We start from the raw sequence: 12,679 nt of genomic DNA on the forward strand, positions 1-12,679 counted from the left end.
TGGGTCATGCTTCAGGGCCCAAAGGGTGCAGATGGCAATGCAGGAATTCCTGCAGTCAGCTTCCTACGGGGTGTTGCTTCCTGTGAAGACCTCCATCCCTGCCCAGGGCCTTCAAAGTACAGAATCTGGCATCTCGCATAGAAGGGAGCAAATGTGTATGACTTAAGTCTCTGGATGTGTTCTCAGGATGTGAGAATGAAACCCAAAGCTCCCGAGTCTCCTTCTATGGAATCTGCCTCACATAGCTTCATGAGCCCCAGCTTCTTGCCTGCCATCCCCTGAGGACCTGGTGCCAGTTCCCCATCTGTGTCACTCCTCTCCTCACCTGACCAGATCCTGTCACATGGCTAAAGGAAGGGGAAGAGAATGCTTCATCTCAGAAGGAGGGTGAGTAGTGTGCTCTTCCCATGGAGGTCATGTCATTCTTGTGCAGCCTCAAACTCCTGCACTGCTCCCCTGACCTCTCCCTGGAGGGTTCTGCCCACTCCACAGTCCCTCCTGCTGTGCTCCCAAACCCCAGTGTGTATCTCCAGAACATGTCTGCAAGGACCTAGGCCTCCAACATACTCTTCCTTCTTCCCCATCTTGGCATCAAATCTGTCTTGGAGGACTCTAGGAATACTAGTCTGATTTTTGTAGAACATCCCTCAGTTTCAGTGGGTCTAATGTCTTCTCACGATTAGAAGGGCATGCATGATTATGCATTATTAGGAAGAACACCACGGAGGTGGGAAGCCCTTTTTATAGTGAATACAGTATCTCCAGCACTTAGGTCAGTGCCTGGAGCATATGAGGAGCTGGATAAATATTGAATGAATGAGCGAATGAAATCATGTTATGTTACCTCTTGGAGAGTGTGTAATGATTCCTCAAATAACTTCACGCAGCAAGGAACGGTGTGTACAAAGGCAGGGATGGCACCTGTCTACTGGCATTGGGGAGAAATCATGATGGAGCATTCTCCAGATGAATGCAACCTTGCAAACCACGTTGGCCACCCTTCCTACTTTCTCCAGGGAAGTAGCATCAAAGTCATTGGCGAACATGGGACTTCTGTCTAGAGCTTGTCCAGGAATCAATGGGAAAGTGTTACTTGAACTGAATGTTACATAAATCCCTTTAAGGCCCAGCTGAAACCCAGAGACATGTGAGACCTTGACATTGGCTGCTTGCAGACCCAAACGACCAGAGAGAGGAGCAGGGAATTGGGACAAGGGCCACAGCTGCCTACTGGCAAGAGAGAGTGCTCAGATAGCCACTGATGTTTGTAGCCCTGCCTTGCTGACTTCCCCAGGATGCCAGGAGCACAGACCAGGCGCTGGGGCAGCAGGTCTCTGGAGTCCCTAGAGCTCAGTTGCTTACCTGTTCCATGACTCAACAATAAGAGGGTGCTGGGATGCATTTAAACTTTGATTGCTGGGTAATTGGGAGGACTGAAAATGCCACGAGGCTCCAATGCAGAGGCTGCGAATACTAGGACCATGGAGCTGTAGTTCTTCATGCGTCCCACAGCTGAGTACTGAGCATGTACTGTTTGCCAGGCACTGCTCTAAGCTCTGAGGATACAGCATTGAACAAATTCCCTGCTTCTGTGGAGCTTATGTTCTAGCGGGAGGGGAGGGGCAGGCACACAATGAACTGCGGAACAAAGTTACAGGTGAAGTAGGTTTTATGGTGACAAACGCTATGGAAACAAATTGAATCGAGAGAGCTAAATAAGGAGTGCTGGAAACTGGGTGGAAGGAGGGATTGCAATTTTTACAATGGTATTCATAGAAGGCCTCACAGAAGAGATATCTCGAGAGAGAACCGAGGATGTCTGGGAAGGAATGCTAACAGTATTATAAGAGCAATCGTCTAGAAGAGAACAAAGACATGCAGTCGCTCGGGGCCTTGGAACAGAGTGTAGAGGGCAGGGTCTAGAGACACTGGTCTGGTGAGCCAGGTAAAGGGTATTCCCTGATCCTCTGAGCCATGGACTGCCTCAGAGCCAGGTCAGCTGCACTGTACCATGAACTGGCTTCTTGGATCCAGGTTTCTATTCCAGGTTACTGACTTGACCTGAGGACTGGGTACGGAATACAGGTCTAGGTGTCCAGAAACCTTTCTCTCGGGATAAAGGGGATGGAAGGCACCATTGGCATTGAACAGGCAAGGCTGTTGGCCTGCTGCTGTGGCACTGCTGCGGCGGGCAGGACAATGGTGCACGTGTAAAGACTGGGTGCAGAACAAAGCAGAAGGCTGTCTGGTGACACCTAGTGCTCATTCCAGAGTAGACTCTGTGTCTTCAATGAGGGGCCAGATGTCTTAATCCAGGACTGGATTTCCTATCTTTCAAAGTTCACCTCAGGTGGAGGCCAGAAGCAGGTTTGGCTTTTTGTTGGGGGGGAAGGTACACATAGGAGGCTCTTTGTGCTTCCTACTGTACTCCAGCAGGAGGCATACAACTTCTGGCTGTTCAACCCTTGATCATATTGGCTCTGATCAGTGGGCTCAGGTGGAGAGGTGGAGACAGCCTTGTTCCTCCATTGCAGAGTGCGTCATCAACCCTTCAACAATGTTTCATCCATTGATTAGCATGGATTGCATCAGTTGCATTGCTGGATATTGCAAATACTTGTTTTCCTTTTCTCTCATATGTTGCATTTTCCTCAGCTGGAATTCTCCAGTAAGGAAGAAACTTTCCTCATCAACTGTAGCTATTGTGTCATCCTGAAATACAGTTAGTACAGGAAATGCAGGATAAATGTTTTATTCTCTCTCTTGCAGAGCCAATTCTCAATGTGAGGGGTGGTTATTCTTGTTCCTTCCAATGGGGTCCAACAAGTCATTCTTTATTAATGACTTTTTATTTTAGAAAATGTTTAGGCTTACAGAATTATTGCAGAGATAGTACAGAGAATTCTCATATACCCCACACCCAGTTTTCCCTATTACCATCCTCTTACATTAGCATTACACATTTGCCACAATTAATAAAACGGAAGACAAAAACAAGGACACTAGAGGAATCTGAAGCCTCTGGCATCTATAGGTATAAGAAATAAAGCCCAACTCCCAGCCAAATTGACATACATCCTCACTGTAGAGATCTAATTGCCTCTGTTCCTATGACCTCATACAACACGTTCACTCTCAACAAAAGGATTGCAAGGGACACACGCAAAAGAGTAAGAAAATACATAGTCTGAAGAGACAAGACAATCAACAGAACTGGACTCTAATATGACTCAGATATTGGAATTAGGAGGCAGATAATTTAAAATGACTATTTTTAAAAATTTAAGAGGCTTTAATGGAAAAAGTAGGCAACATGGAAAAACAGATAGGTAATGCAGGAAGAGAAGTATTGCGCTCAGCAAAATCCAGAGTATGGGAAACTGGACAGAACACAAGGCATGTCTTCATTTTCAACAAATGAGTTTCAAAAAAAGGTAATGTGGGGGAATCTATAAATTACTTAAGGTGGCTATTAAGAACATAAACACAATGTATAGATCATATTTGCAAACCGATTCAAAGAAACTGCATTTTAACAGGAGCATATGTCCACCAGATACATGTGACAAATAAGTGAACATTTCATTATATTAATGACTTGCTTACATGTTTAGGAAAGATAATAATGTTGGCTTTATGTTTTATAAGAGAGTAGTTATCTTTAGAAATGCACTCTGATGTATTTGGAGATGAGATCACATGGTGTCTTGGATTTGCTCCACATTATTTCAGTTTCTGCTATGCGGAGTAGGTAGGGGTATAACTAGAACCAGATTGGCCATGAGTTGAAGATTATTGATACTGAAAGTCTGGTATATTAGATTAATTATAGTATTTACCCTATTATTAGGTGTATTTGAAAATGCTTGTAATGAAAATATTTTTGAAATAAATATGATATTTAATTTGAAATCCTAAGTGAAATGGATAATATTTTAGGAAAATAAGTACATGAACAAATTGATACAAAAAGAAATTCAAATCTTTAACCAAACAATAAAAAGTGAAACTAATCTAAGCTCAAGCCATCCTCAAATGTGGACAAGGCAGCTTCGGAGGCCAATTCTACATTGTTATCAGGTAAAGCTCAAAGCCACCTTAAGTAAACTCTTCCAAGGCATACGAAAAGTTGGGCAATTATTCAAATTATTTTCCCAAGCTAACCATTCTTCATTCAGGTACCAGAGGAGGACAGCACCGTGAAAACACTTGAGCCAAACTTCACTCACACAGAGGCAAATATATTAATTAAATTAGTAGCATATTCAACATAGAAGTGAATTAACGGATTGTGTCCAAGGAACAAAAACATGATTTAATATAAAACAATTTTCAGTTGTGATTTCCTACGTTATCGAATTAAGATTTTAAAAAGTGATCACTTTAGTAGGTATAAAAAAGCTTCTGGATGAAATTCTATACAAGTTAATGGTCAAAACATTTAGCAAAATAAGTTTAGCAGCATATTTTCTTTTCCTGAGATCAATGGACAACATACTTAAGTATGAAATGTTAGAAGAATTCTTGTCATGGACATAGGCTATAACCTCTATCTTTGGAAACTGCATGTAACATAAGGCAGGAGATATGGATATCAAAAGAAATCAGTATGAATATTGAACAGAAAGAGTTAATATTTGGTATGACAATATGATTATCTAGAAAATTCAAAGAAATGTGCACATGGAATAGTCAAATAACAGACTTCAGAATAATAGTATACAGGTTACTACAGTAAAATCAAAATCCTTGCAACCCAATGAAATAACCACTCAGAACAAGTAATAGAAAATACCCCATTCACAATGGCAACAAAATCCAGAAATTGTCTAATAAGACAGACAAACCATACAAGATCTTTATGGAAACAACTATGCAAATACTGATAGATTCGGGTCAAAAACTTCCCAGATAAATAGAGCCATATTCCATATCCCTTAATAGGGAACAGGCTATTGAAAAGATGTCAATTTTTCTTTATCCAAGATGTACAGATATAACGCTTAAAATTTAGCTGGCAATATGAACGTCAAGCTTGGGCTTCTGTCCTTCACTCCCAAAACGAACCCTGGAAAACTATAGAAGGAAGAATAAAATAACAAACAAACAGTATAAACAACAAAATCTAAACAACAAAACATGAGAAAGCTCTGAGGGAGAATGAAGACTGTATTTAACTGGTACCTGTAATCGAAGTGGCCAGAGTGTCAAGGAAGTTAGGGAGAGTCCATAGCTGGCATAGAAGGAAGATGACAGGATGTGTAGAAGGAAATGTTTAAATTTTTGCCCCTATTCCAGTGTGAAAATGTCAGGTGGCACCTGAGACCACAGGTGCCAGTAGTCTGGTTTCATTGAAACAGTAGTAGCTCCAGTCTGTGCTAATAACCACCTAAAACCACATTAATAGGTGAATTGGCTTAACTGAACATAAAGAATGGATTACAAATAGAGTGTTGAGCATTAGAATGAAACAGGCATAATGAGGTTAAGTATGATTTCTGATGCTGAATGAAAGTTTAAAAATGAAAATCACTGCACTGAGCTATGAAATGTTAGATAATTCCAATGGCAGAACTCCTTAGATTTCTAGCTGCTGGTCAGCCTACTCAATGTAAAAATAAATATTTTAGGGTAAAAGGTTTGCAAATTCAACCTCTGGCTGGGGAAGAGCTGCCCTGGGAAGGTGCGTGTCTTCTCCCAGAGGCCACTACAATCACAGCTCCTGCAGCCCCCCCACGGAGCACCTGGCCTGGGACCCGCAGCCATTCTCTGCAAGGGGTGCAGCTGGGCAAAGGCTCAGAGGTGACAGAAACAGAGTATCTGCCACCCATCACTGCATCGAAAGAGCCAGGAGTCAGGAGGAGGATCCTCCTGAGTGAGGACTGAAGGTCCACCCTCCCCACATAGAGGGGCCACAGAATCCAACTCAGCCCCTCCCGTCATTCCCTGGAAGACCCTGGCAATGTTGTCGTCCCGACCACACCCCTCTCCCGACTGCCACCTCATGGGACTCAGAGTCAGAGACTTGGTCTGAGGGGAGCAGAGAATGGGGGTCCAGGATCTGCCAGCCATCAAGGTCAGGACCCCGAGGGATGACTGAGGGTCCTCCACCCCCATTCCCAAACCCACCACCACCAAGACCTAAGCCCTGGGGGTCCCACCCCAATCCCTCCCCCTACCGCCCCCAATTCCTCCCCCTAAACCCCCGCACCCCACATCTTAACAACCACCCCCACCCAAATCCAGGCAGAACCCGTTTCTGCCCATGCTGTCAACCCAGGGAAGCCCCAGGTTGGGGCTTCTAAGGTTATTCTTCACCTTAGAACAAATATCTGGACAGGCCCCACACCACTGGACCCCTAGAAATTTTACTGAGGTAGGGCCGGGCACAGTGGCTCACGCCTGTAATCCCAGCACTTTGGGAGGCCGAGGCAGGCGGATCACGAGGTCAGGAGATCGAGACCATCCTGGCTAACACGGTGAAACCCCACCTCTACTAAAAAATATAAAAAATTAGCCAGGCGTGATGGCGGATGCCTGTAGTCCCAGTTACTTGGGAGGCTGAGGCAGGAGAATGGCGTGAACCCAGGAGGTGGAGCTTGCAGTGAGCGGAGATCGCGCCACTGCACTCCAGTCTGGGAGACAGAGCAAGACTCTGTCTCAAAAAAAAAAAAAAAAAAAAAAAAAAGGAAGAAATTTTACTGAGGTAGAAGGTCCCTGAATTTTAGTCGGATTTATTTCCCATCCTCTGGCATGCAAATGTCTCACTACTAAGTCCAGTGTGTTTTCTACTTCTTGCTCACTGGATCCAATTAGCATAATGTCATTAATGTAATGGACCAGTGTGATATCTTGCAGAAGCAAAAAGCCATCAAGGTCTCTCTGAATAAGATTATGACACAAACCTGGAGAGCTGATATACCCCTGAGATAGGACAGTAGAGGTATATTGCTGGCCTTGCCAGCTGAAGGCAAATTGCTTCCAGTGGGCCTTATGGACAGGAACAGGGAAAAAGGCATTTAGCAAGTCAATGGCTGCATACCAGATACCAGGAGATGTGTTAATTTCTCAAGCAATGAAACCACATCTGGTACAGCAGTTGCAATTGGAGTTACCACTTGGTTAAGCTTACGATAATCCACTGTCATTCTCCAAGATCCATCTGTCTTCTGCACAGGCCAAATGGGAGAGTTGAATGGGTATGTGGTGGGAATCACCACCCCTGCATGTTTCAAGTCCGTAATCTCCGCAATCCCTCCATGGATGCAATATTGTTTTTGATTTACTATTTTTCTAGGTAGAGACAGCTCTAATGTCTTCCATTTGGCCTGTCCCACCATAATAGCCCTCACCCTACCAGTCAGCGAGCCAATGTGGGGGTTGTGCCAGCTGCTAAGTATGTCTATGCCAATTATGCATTCTGGCACTGGTGAAATGTCCACAGGATGAGTCTGGGGACCCACTGGGCCCACTGTAAGTCAGACCTGAGCTAAAACTCCATTAATTACCTGACCTCCATAAGCCCCTACTTTAACTGGAGGATCACAATGACATTTTGGGTCGCCTGGAATCAGCGTCAGCTCAGAGCCAGTGTCCAGTAGTCCCTGAAATGTCTGATTGTTGTCCTTTCCCCAATGCACAGTTATTCTGGTAAAAGGCAGGAGGTCTTCTTGGGGAAGGATAGGAGAACGATTCACTGCATAAATTGTCGGTAATGTAGTGGGGTCCTTCCTTAAGGGGACCCAGCCTCCACTTCATTCAAGGTGTTCTGGGTCTGTAAACTGGCTCATGTCTAGAAACTGATAGAGGGGTCGTGATTCTCTGTTTTTATAATTCAAATTAGTCTTTTGACAATTCTAACTAGAAGTTTTCTGCTTGTATAAATTAAGTAGGAATGCGTAGGCTTTCTACCAACTTCACTTCTGGGAACACCATGATTTATTAGCCAGTGCCATAGGGCTACACAAGTAAGATTATTCTGATTGCCGCTTTGCCTTTGCTGTCCATTATGGTAGTAGCTATGCCCACCTTGCCTTTGGCGGTTTAGTGCTGCCACTTGGCCCCTGCCACCTCGGGATCCAATTATACCCATTGTATTTAAATTTTGTAGTTTAGTTACTGCACTTCCCACCATTAGATCTGACATACAGAAAAGAGCAATTACAAGTCTCTTCAAAGATGTAGGTGCTGCCTTCACAAATCTATTTCACAAGTCAGTCTTCAAGGGCATATCTTCTGGACCCTCCCAGCTGGGATGAGTAGGTCTAACATGACTAATACACTCCACCATCCCAATCTCCATTAGCCTTTGGATCCCTTCCTCTACATTAAACCAAGGTAGATCAGGCATTTCCAGCTGCTCACAGTGGGCCATCTTTTAATCCATATTTCAGCTATCCAAGCAAATAAGCAACTACAACCTTTTTTAACTTCCCAAGCTGCAACATTAAAAGCAGAGTATTTACTTAGTGGGCCCAAATCAATAAATTCTGCCTGACCCAACTCTATGTTCCTTCCATCATTATCTCATGCCATTAATATCCATTCTCATGCCTGTTCTCCAGATTTCTCTTTACAGAAATTAGAAAACTCAAGCAGTTCTTCTCGGGTGTAGTGCACCTCCTCGTGGATCACACTCTCAACCTCACCTCCAGGGGCCTGCCGGGACTTTAGTCTAGTTATAGGTCTAGAAGTAAAAAGGGGTGTTGGGGTGGCACCTGAGGAGAATCAACATTATCTCACCTGGCAACTGCCTCAGAGGAGGCCACCACTGTTGCCTCAAGAAGCACAGGGTTTATCTCCTCAGACAAAGGTGGAAGGGCTGATGGCAGCATGGGTCAGGGAGGGAATGTTGCCACTACTGGGGATGGGGAAACTGTTCTGGCAAAAAAGATTCATCAGAGTTTACAAACTCAGCGTCCCCAGCTTCATCAGGGTCCTTCCACACGTCCCCATTCCAAGTTGCAGGGTCCTATTCTTTTCCAATCAATGCCCTCACTTTAACAGTACCCCCCTGGTGAGGCTGTGCATGCATCTTTTGTTGCAGGTCAGCAACTCACATGATAAGACCTTGGGTCTGTTTTCCCACAATTTTAGCTCTTTCTCTACAGGAGATAAGACTCTCACTCAGGGCAATCTTAGCAGATTTGAGGCTCAGTATCTGCTTCTGAAGCCGGGAGACAGAATCCCTGAGTTCATCATTTTCTTTCATCACTTTGTCCACTGAACTTAGGAGCAACTAACCAGCTTCATTATGTTCTTTGATTCGCCGCATATGGCCAAAGGTATTATGTATAGAGTCACTAAACTTCTTGCCTCTCACAAGTGCTGAATCACGAATGTCGAATGCATTTATTTTAAATAACTCTCTAAACAGTTCATGTCAAAGGCTAAAAGTGTTTTCCATACTATTAGAAGTAGAGTCCTTAGCATTTTTGGGGTCTAATCATATTAGGCAACCAACTCCAGAAATGCCCAAACCAACAAAAGAACTCAATCTTTAATATTCTCTTTCTCTAGAACCACTCCTGGTACCAAAAATCTGTATTAGTCAGGGTTCTCTAGAGGGACAGAAGTAATATAGGATATATATCATATATTTTATATATATATACATATATAAATTATATATTTAACTAGTACCTTTAATCGAAGTGGCCAGAGTGGCAGGGAAGTTATGGGGGGTCCAGAGCTGGCAAAGAAGGAAGATGACAGGATGTGTAGGAGGAAATGTTTAAACTTTTGCTCCTATTCCATTGTGAAAATGTCAGGCGGCACCTGAGACCACAAGTGCCAGTAGTCTGGTTTGATTGAAGCAGTAATAGCTCCAGTCTGTGCTAATAACCACCTAAAACCACATTAATAGGTGAATTGGCTTAATTGAACATAAAGAATGGATTACAAATAGAGTGTTGAGCATTAGAATGAAACAGGCATAATGAGGTTAAGTATGATTTCTGATGCTGAATGAAAGTTTAAAAATGAAAATCACTGCACTGAGCTATGAAATGTTAGATAATTCCAATGGCAGAACTCCTTAGATTTCTAGCTGCTGGTCAGCCTATATTATATTATATCTATATATAGATATAATAGATATATATATATACCTATTACTTCTGTAATAGGTATATATATATATATATTCCCCCTTCCCAGGACTTCTTGATTTTGCTTGCTCTGGGTTGTAGGGGTTTGTTGTTTGTTTAGTGACTTTTCTGGACTATATTTTAAAGTCTACATTCTTTGTCATGTACAGACACTGCCATCTCTTAATTTATTAGCTTAGCGGCCACCTAGTGATTTGATAGAGATTTTCTTAAATGTATGGAATTAAAAAAAAAATCCCAGTATTTGTAGATGCTATGCGTGTGTCTGTGTTGGAGCACATAATACCTCAAAAGATGAGCTAGTCTATCTTCACTTTGGCCAATTTAAGAGTTTTTCATGATGATAGCAATACCTTGAATATCCACATAGTATCATTGTGGAAAATAGTCATACTTTATATAATAGTACATTTTCACAATGGGCAATTTTATCCTGGTTAGCCCCAAGGGCAGCTTGAGAGAATCACAATTGTGATAGTCATACTTAGCCATGATGCATCACCTTTCTTCTGAGAATGAAAAAAAAAAAAGTCATAAATGGTAAATAAGCTTCCCAACACCTACTGGGGAATGGATATTATTATACAAGCTAATTTTAAAGATGAGTAACCGAAATCAAGTTTTCATCTGCTGAAGCATTAGGACCCTGCCTCAGATGTTTGGGTCCAGCTTCCTTTCCCATCCTCTGGGTAAAGTCCAATGTGTAGCCCAGAGGTGGTTCTCAATGAACACTCAAATACAGACGAGGAACTAAGGCACAGAGAAGCTTGTGTAACAGGTCCTGAGCCACCAAGCAAGTAAGGGTGGAGGAGCACAGATGCAACTCAGGGTCTAGCTGAACCTGCAGCCCATACTGTTAGAAAGAGGTGCTTGCCAGTGTTCCTATCGGACAGCAACATCTTTATTACCAGTGATCATGCCCAAAGCAGGCATGAAGGGGGAGATGGCTTGTCAGTTCAGACACTTGAATAACAGGCACCATTGCCTTTTCAAGAGCTTCATAGATGGAAAGCACTCAAGCTCCTCAGAGTCTAGAGCCTTGAGAGCAGACGCTATTTTAGTGAGATCCAGGGAGTCCTGGAGCTGAACCACTGCTCTGCAGGCCCACAAATTCAGTTTTAGCAGTCCTCCCAGAGTTGTCCAGGCCCCAGAGGCTATCTAGCAAAAGCAACATGACACTGACACACAAACCAGTTGTCAACCTCAAGGTTTCTTACTATTAAGTAAAAATTTCCAGACAGACAAGGAGAGGAGGCTGTAATGATCTCTGCGATAGCAGATTTGAGTTAGAGATATTAGGAAGAACTCACTGTTGACTTAATATTCATGCAGATCATTGCATCTAGAAATATTTATAGATATATTAACAGGTTACTATACACACATATAATTTCTTGCTCTGTCAGCAGATGCCACCAACACCCCAGTAGGAATGAGCATACCTAATATACAGATCTAGATTTCTAATACCATTCTCCAATTTTAAAAAATGGGCTCAGTGGAGAAATTGCTGATGGTTGAAGCAGATCAGGAAATATGCAGTCTATTCCTGGAACATCTTATTGTGCTTGACAGTAAAGAAATACTAAAAAAAAAAAAAAATTTAAACACATTGACAAATGTATAAGAAAGACATGTACAAAGAGAACTAAGAGAAAGTGCTCCCAGTGGCCAAACCTGGAGTAATTTTAACAACAGAACATATAAAGTTGTATTGGATTTTCCACAAAGTGTAAAATTAGTATCCGTAAGTCCACATCGAGATAAATAAATGATTACTTAAATGCAAAAATGAGGGTGAACAGACAAATTTCTCATGGGAAAGAGTTCCAAACAATTTATGCAGATACTCTCACTCTCACAAGAAAGCAGAATGTGATTCCCCACTGCTCATAGTGTGGGCTACACAGAGTAACTTTCTTCCAAAGAGAACACTATGAAATAGGGGAATAAAAGAGAAACTTTACAGTAACCATACTTCGCGAGCACTACTTCAGCCAGGTGTTCAAGGTAAACATCATTAGTAATAAGTCATGCTGATAATATGTAGCCTTGATGTGAAGTGATGAGAATGGCATTTCTCCTTTATTGTCTTCTTCCCCAGAACCCATAACCCCAGCCTAATCATGAGAAAAGTACCAGACAAACCACAACTGAAGGTCATTCTACAAAATACCTGACCAATACTCCTCAAAACTGTCAAGATCATCCAAAACAAGAGAAGTATCACACCCAAGAGGAATCTAAAGGGACCTTACCACTAAATATAATGTGGCATCCTGGATGGAATCATGGAGGACCAAAAGGACAGTAGGTAAAAATGAAATAAATCTCAATAAAGAGTGACCTTTAGTTAGTAACACGTAACGCAACAATTGTAGCAAATGTACCATACTCATGTAGGATGTTAACAATAGGGGAACCTGAAACTGAAGGAGGAGGCATATAGAAACTTTGTACTATCTTTGAAAATTATTTTCAAGCATAGAATACCTCAAAATAAATAAAGTCTATGAAATTTTAAAAATGGAGGTAACAAAAGGAAACTTTGCAGACTGATGAATTTAATT

The sequence above is a fragment of the Homo sapiens genome, chromosome X (assembly GCF_000001405.40).
Source record: "Homo sapiens chromosome X, GRCh38.p14 Primary Assembly".
In the NCBI taxonomy this organism is placed as follows: Eukaryota; Metazoa; Chordata; class Mammalia; order Primates; family Hominidae; genus Homo; species Homo sapiens.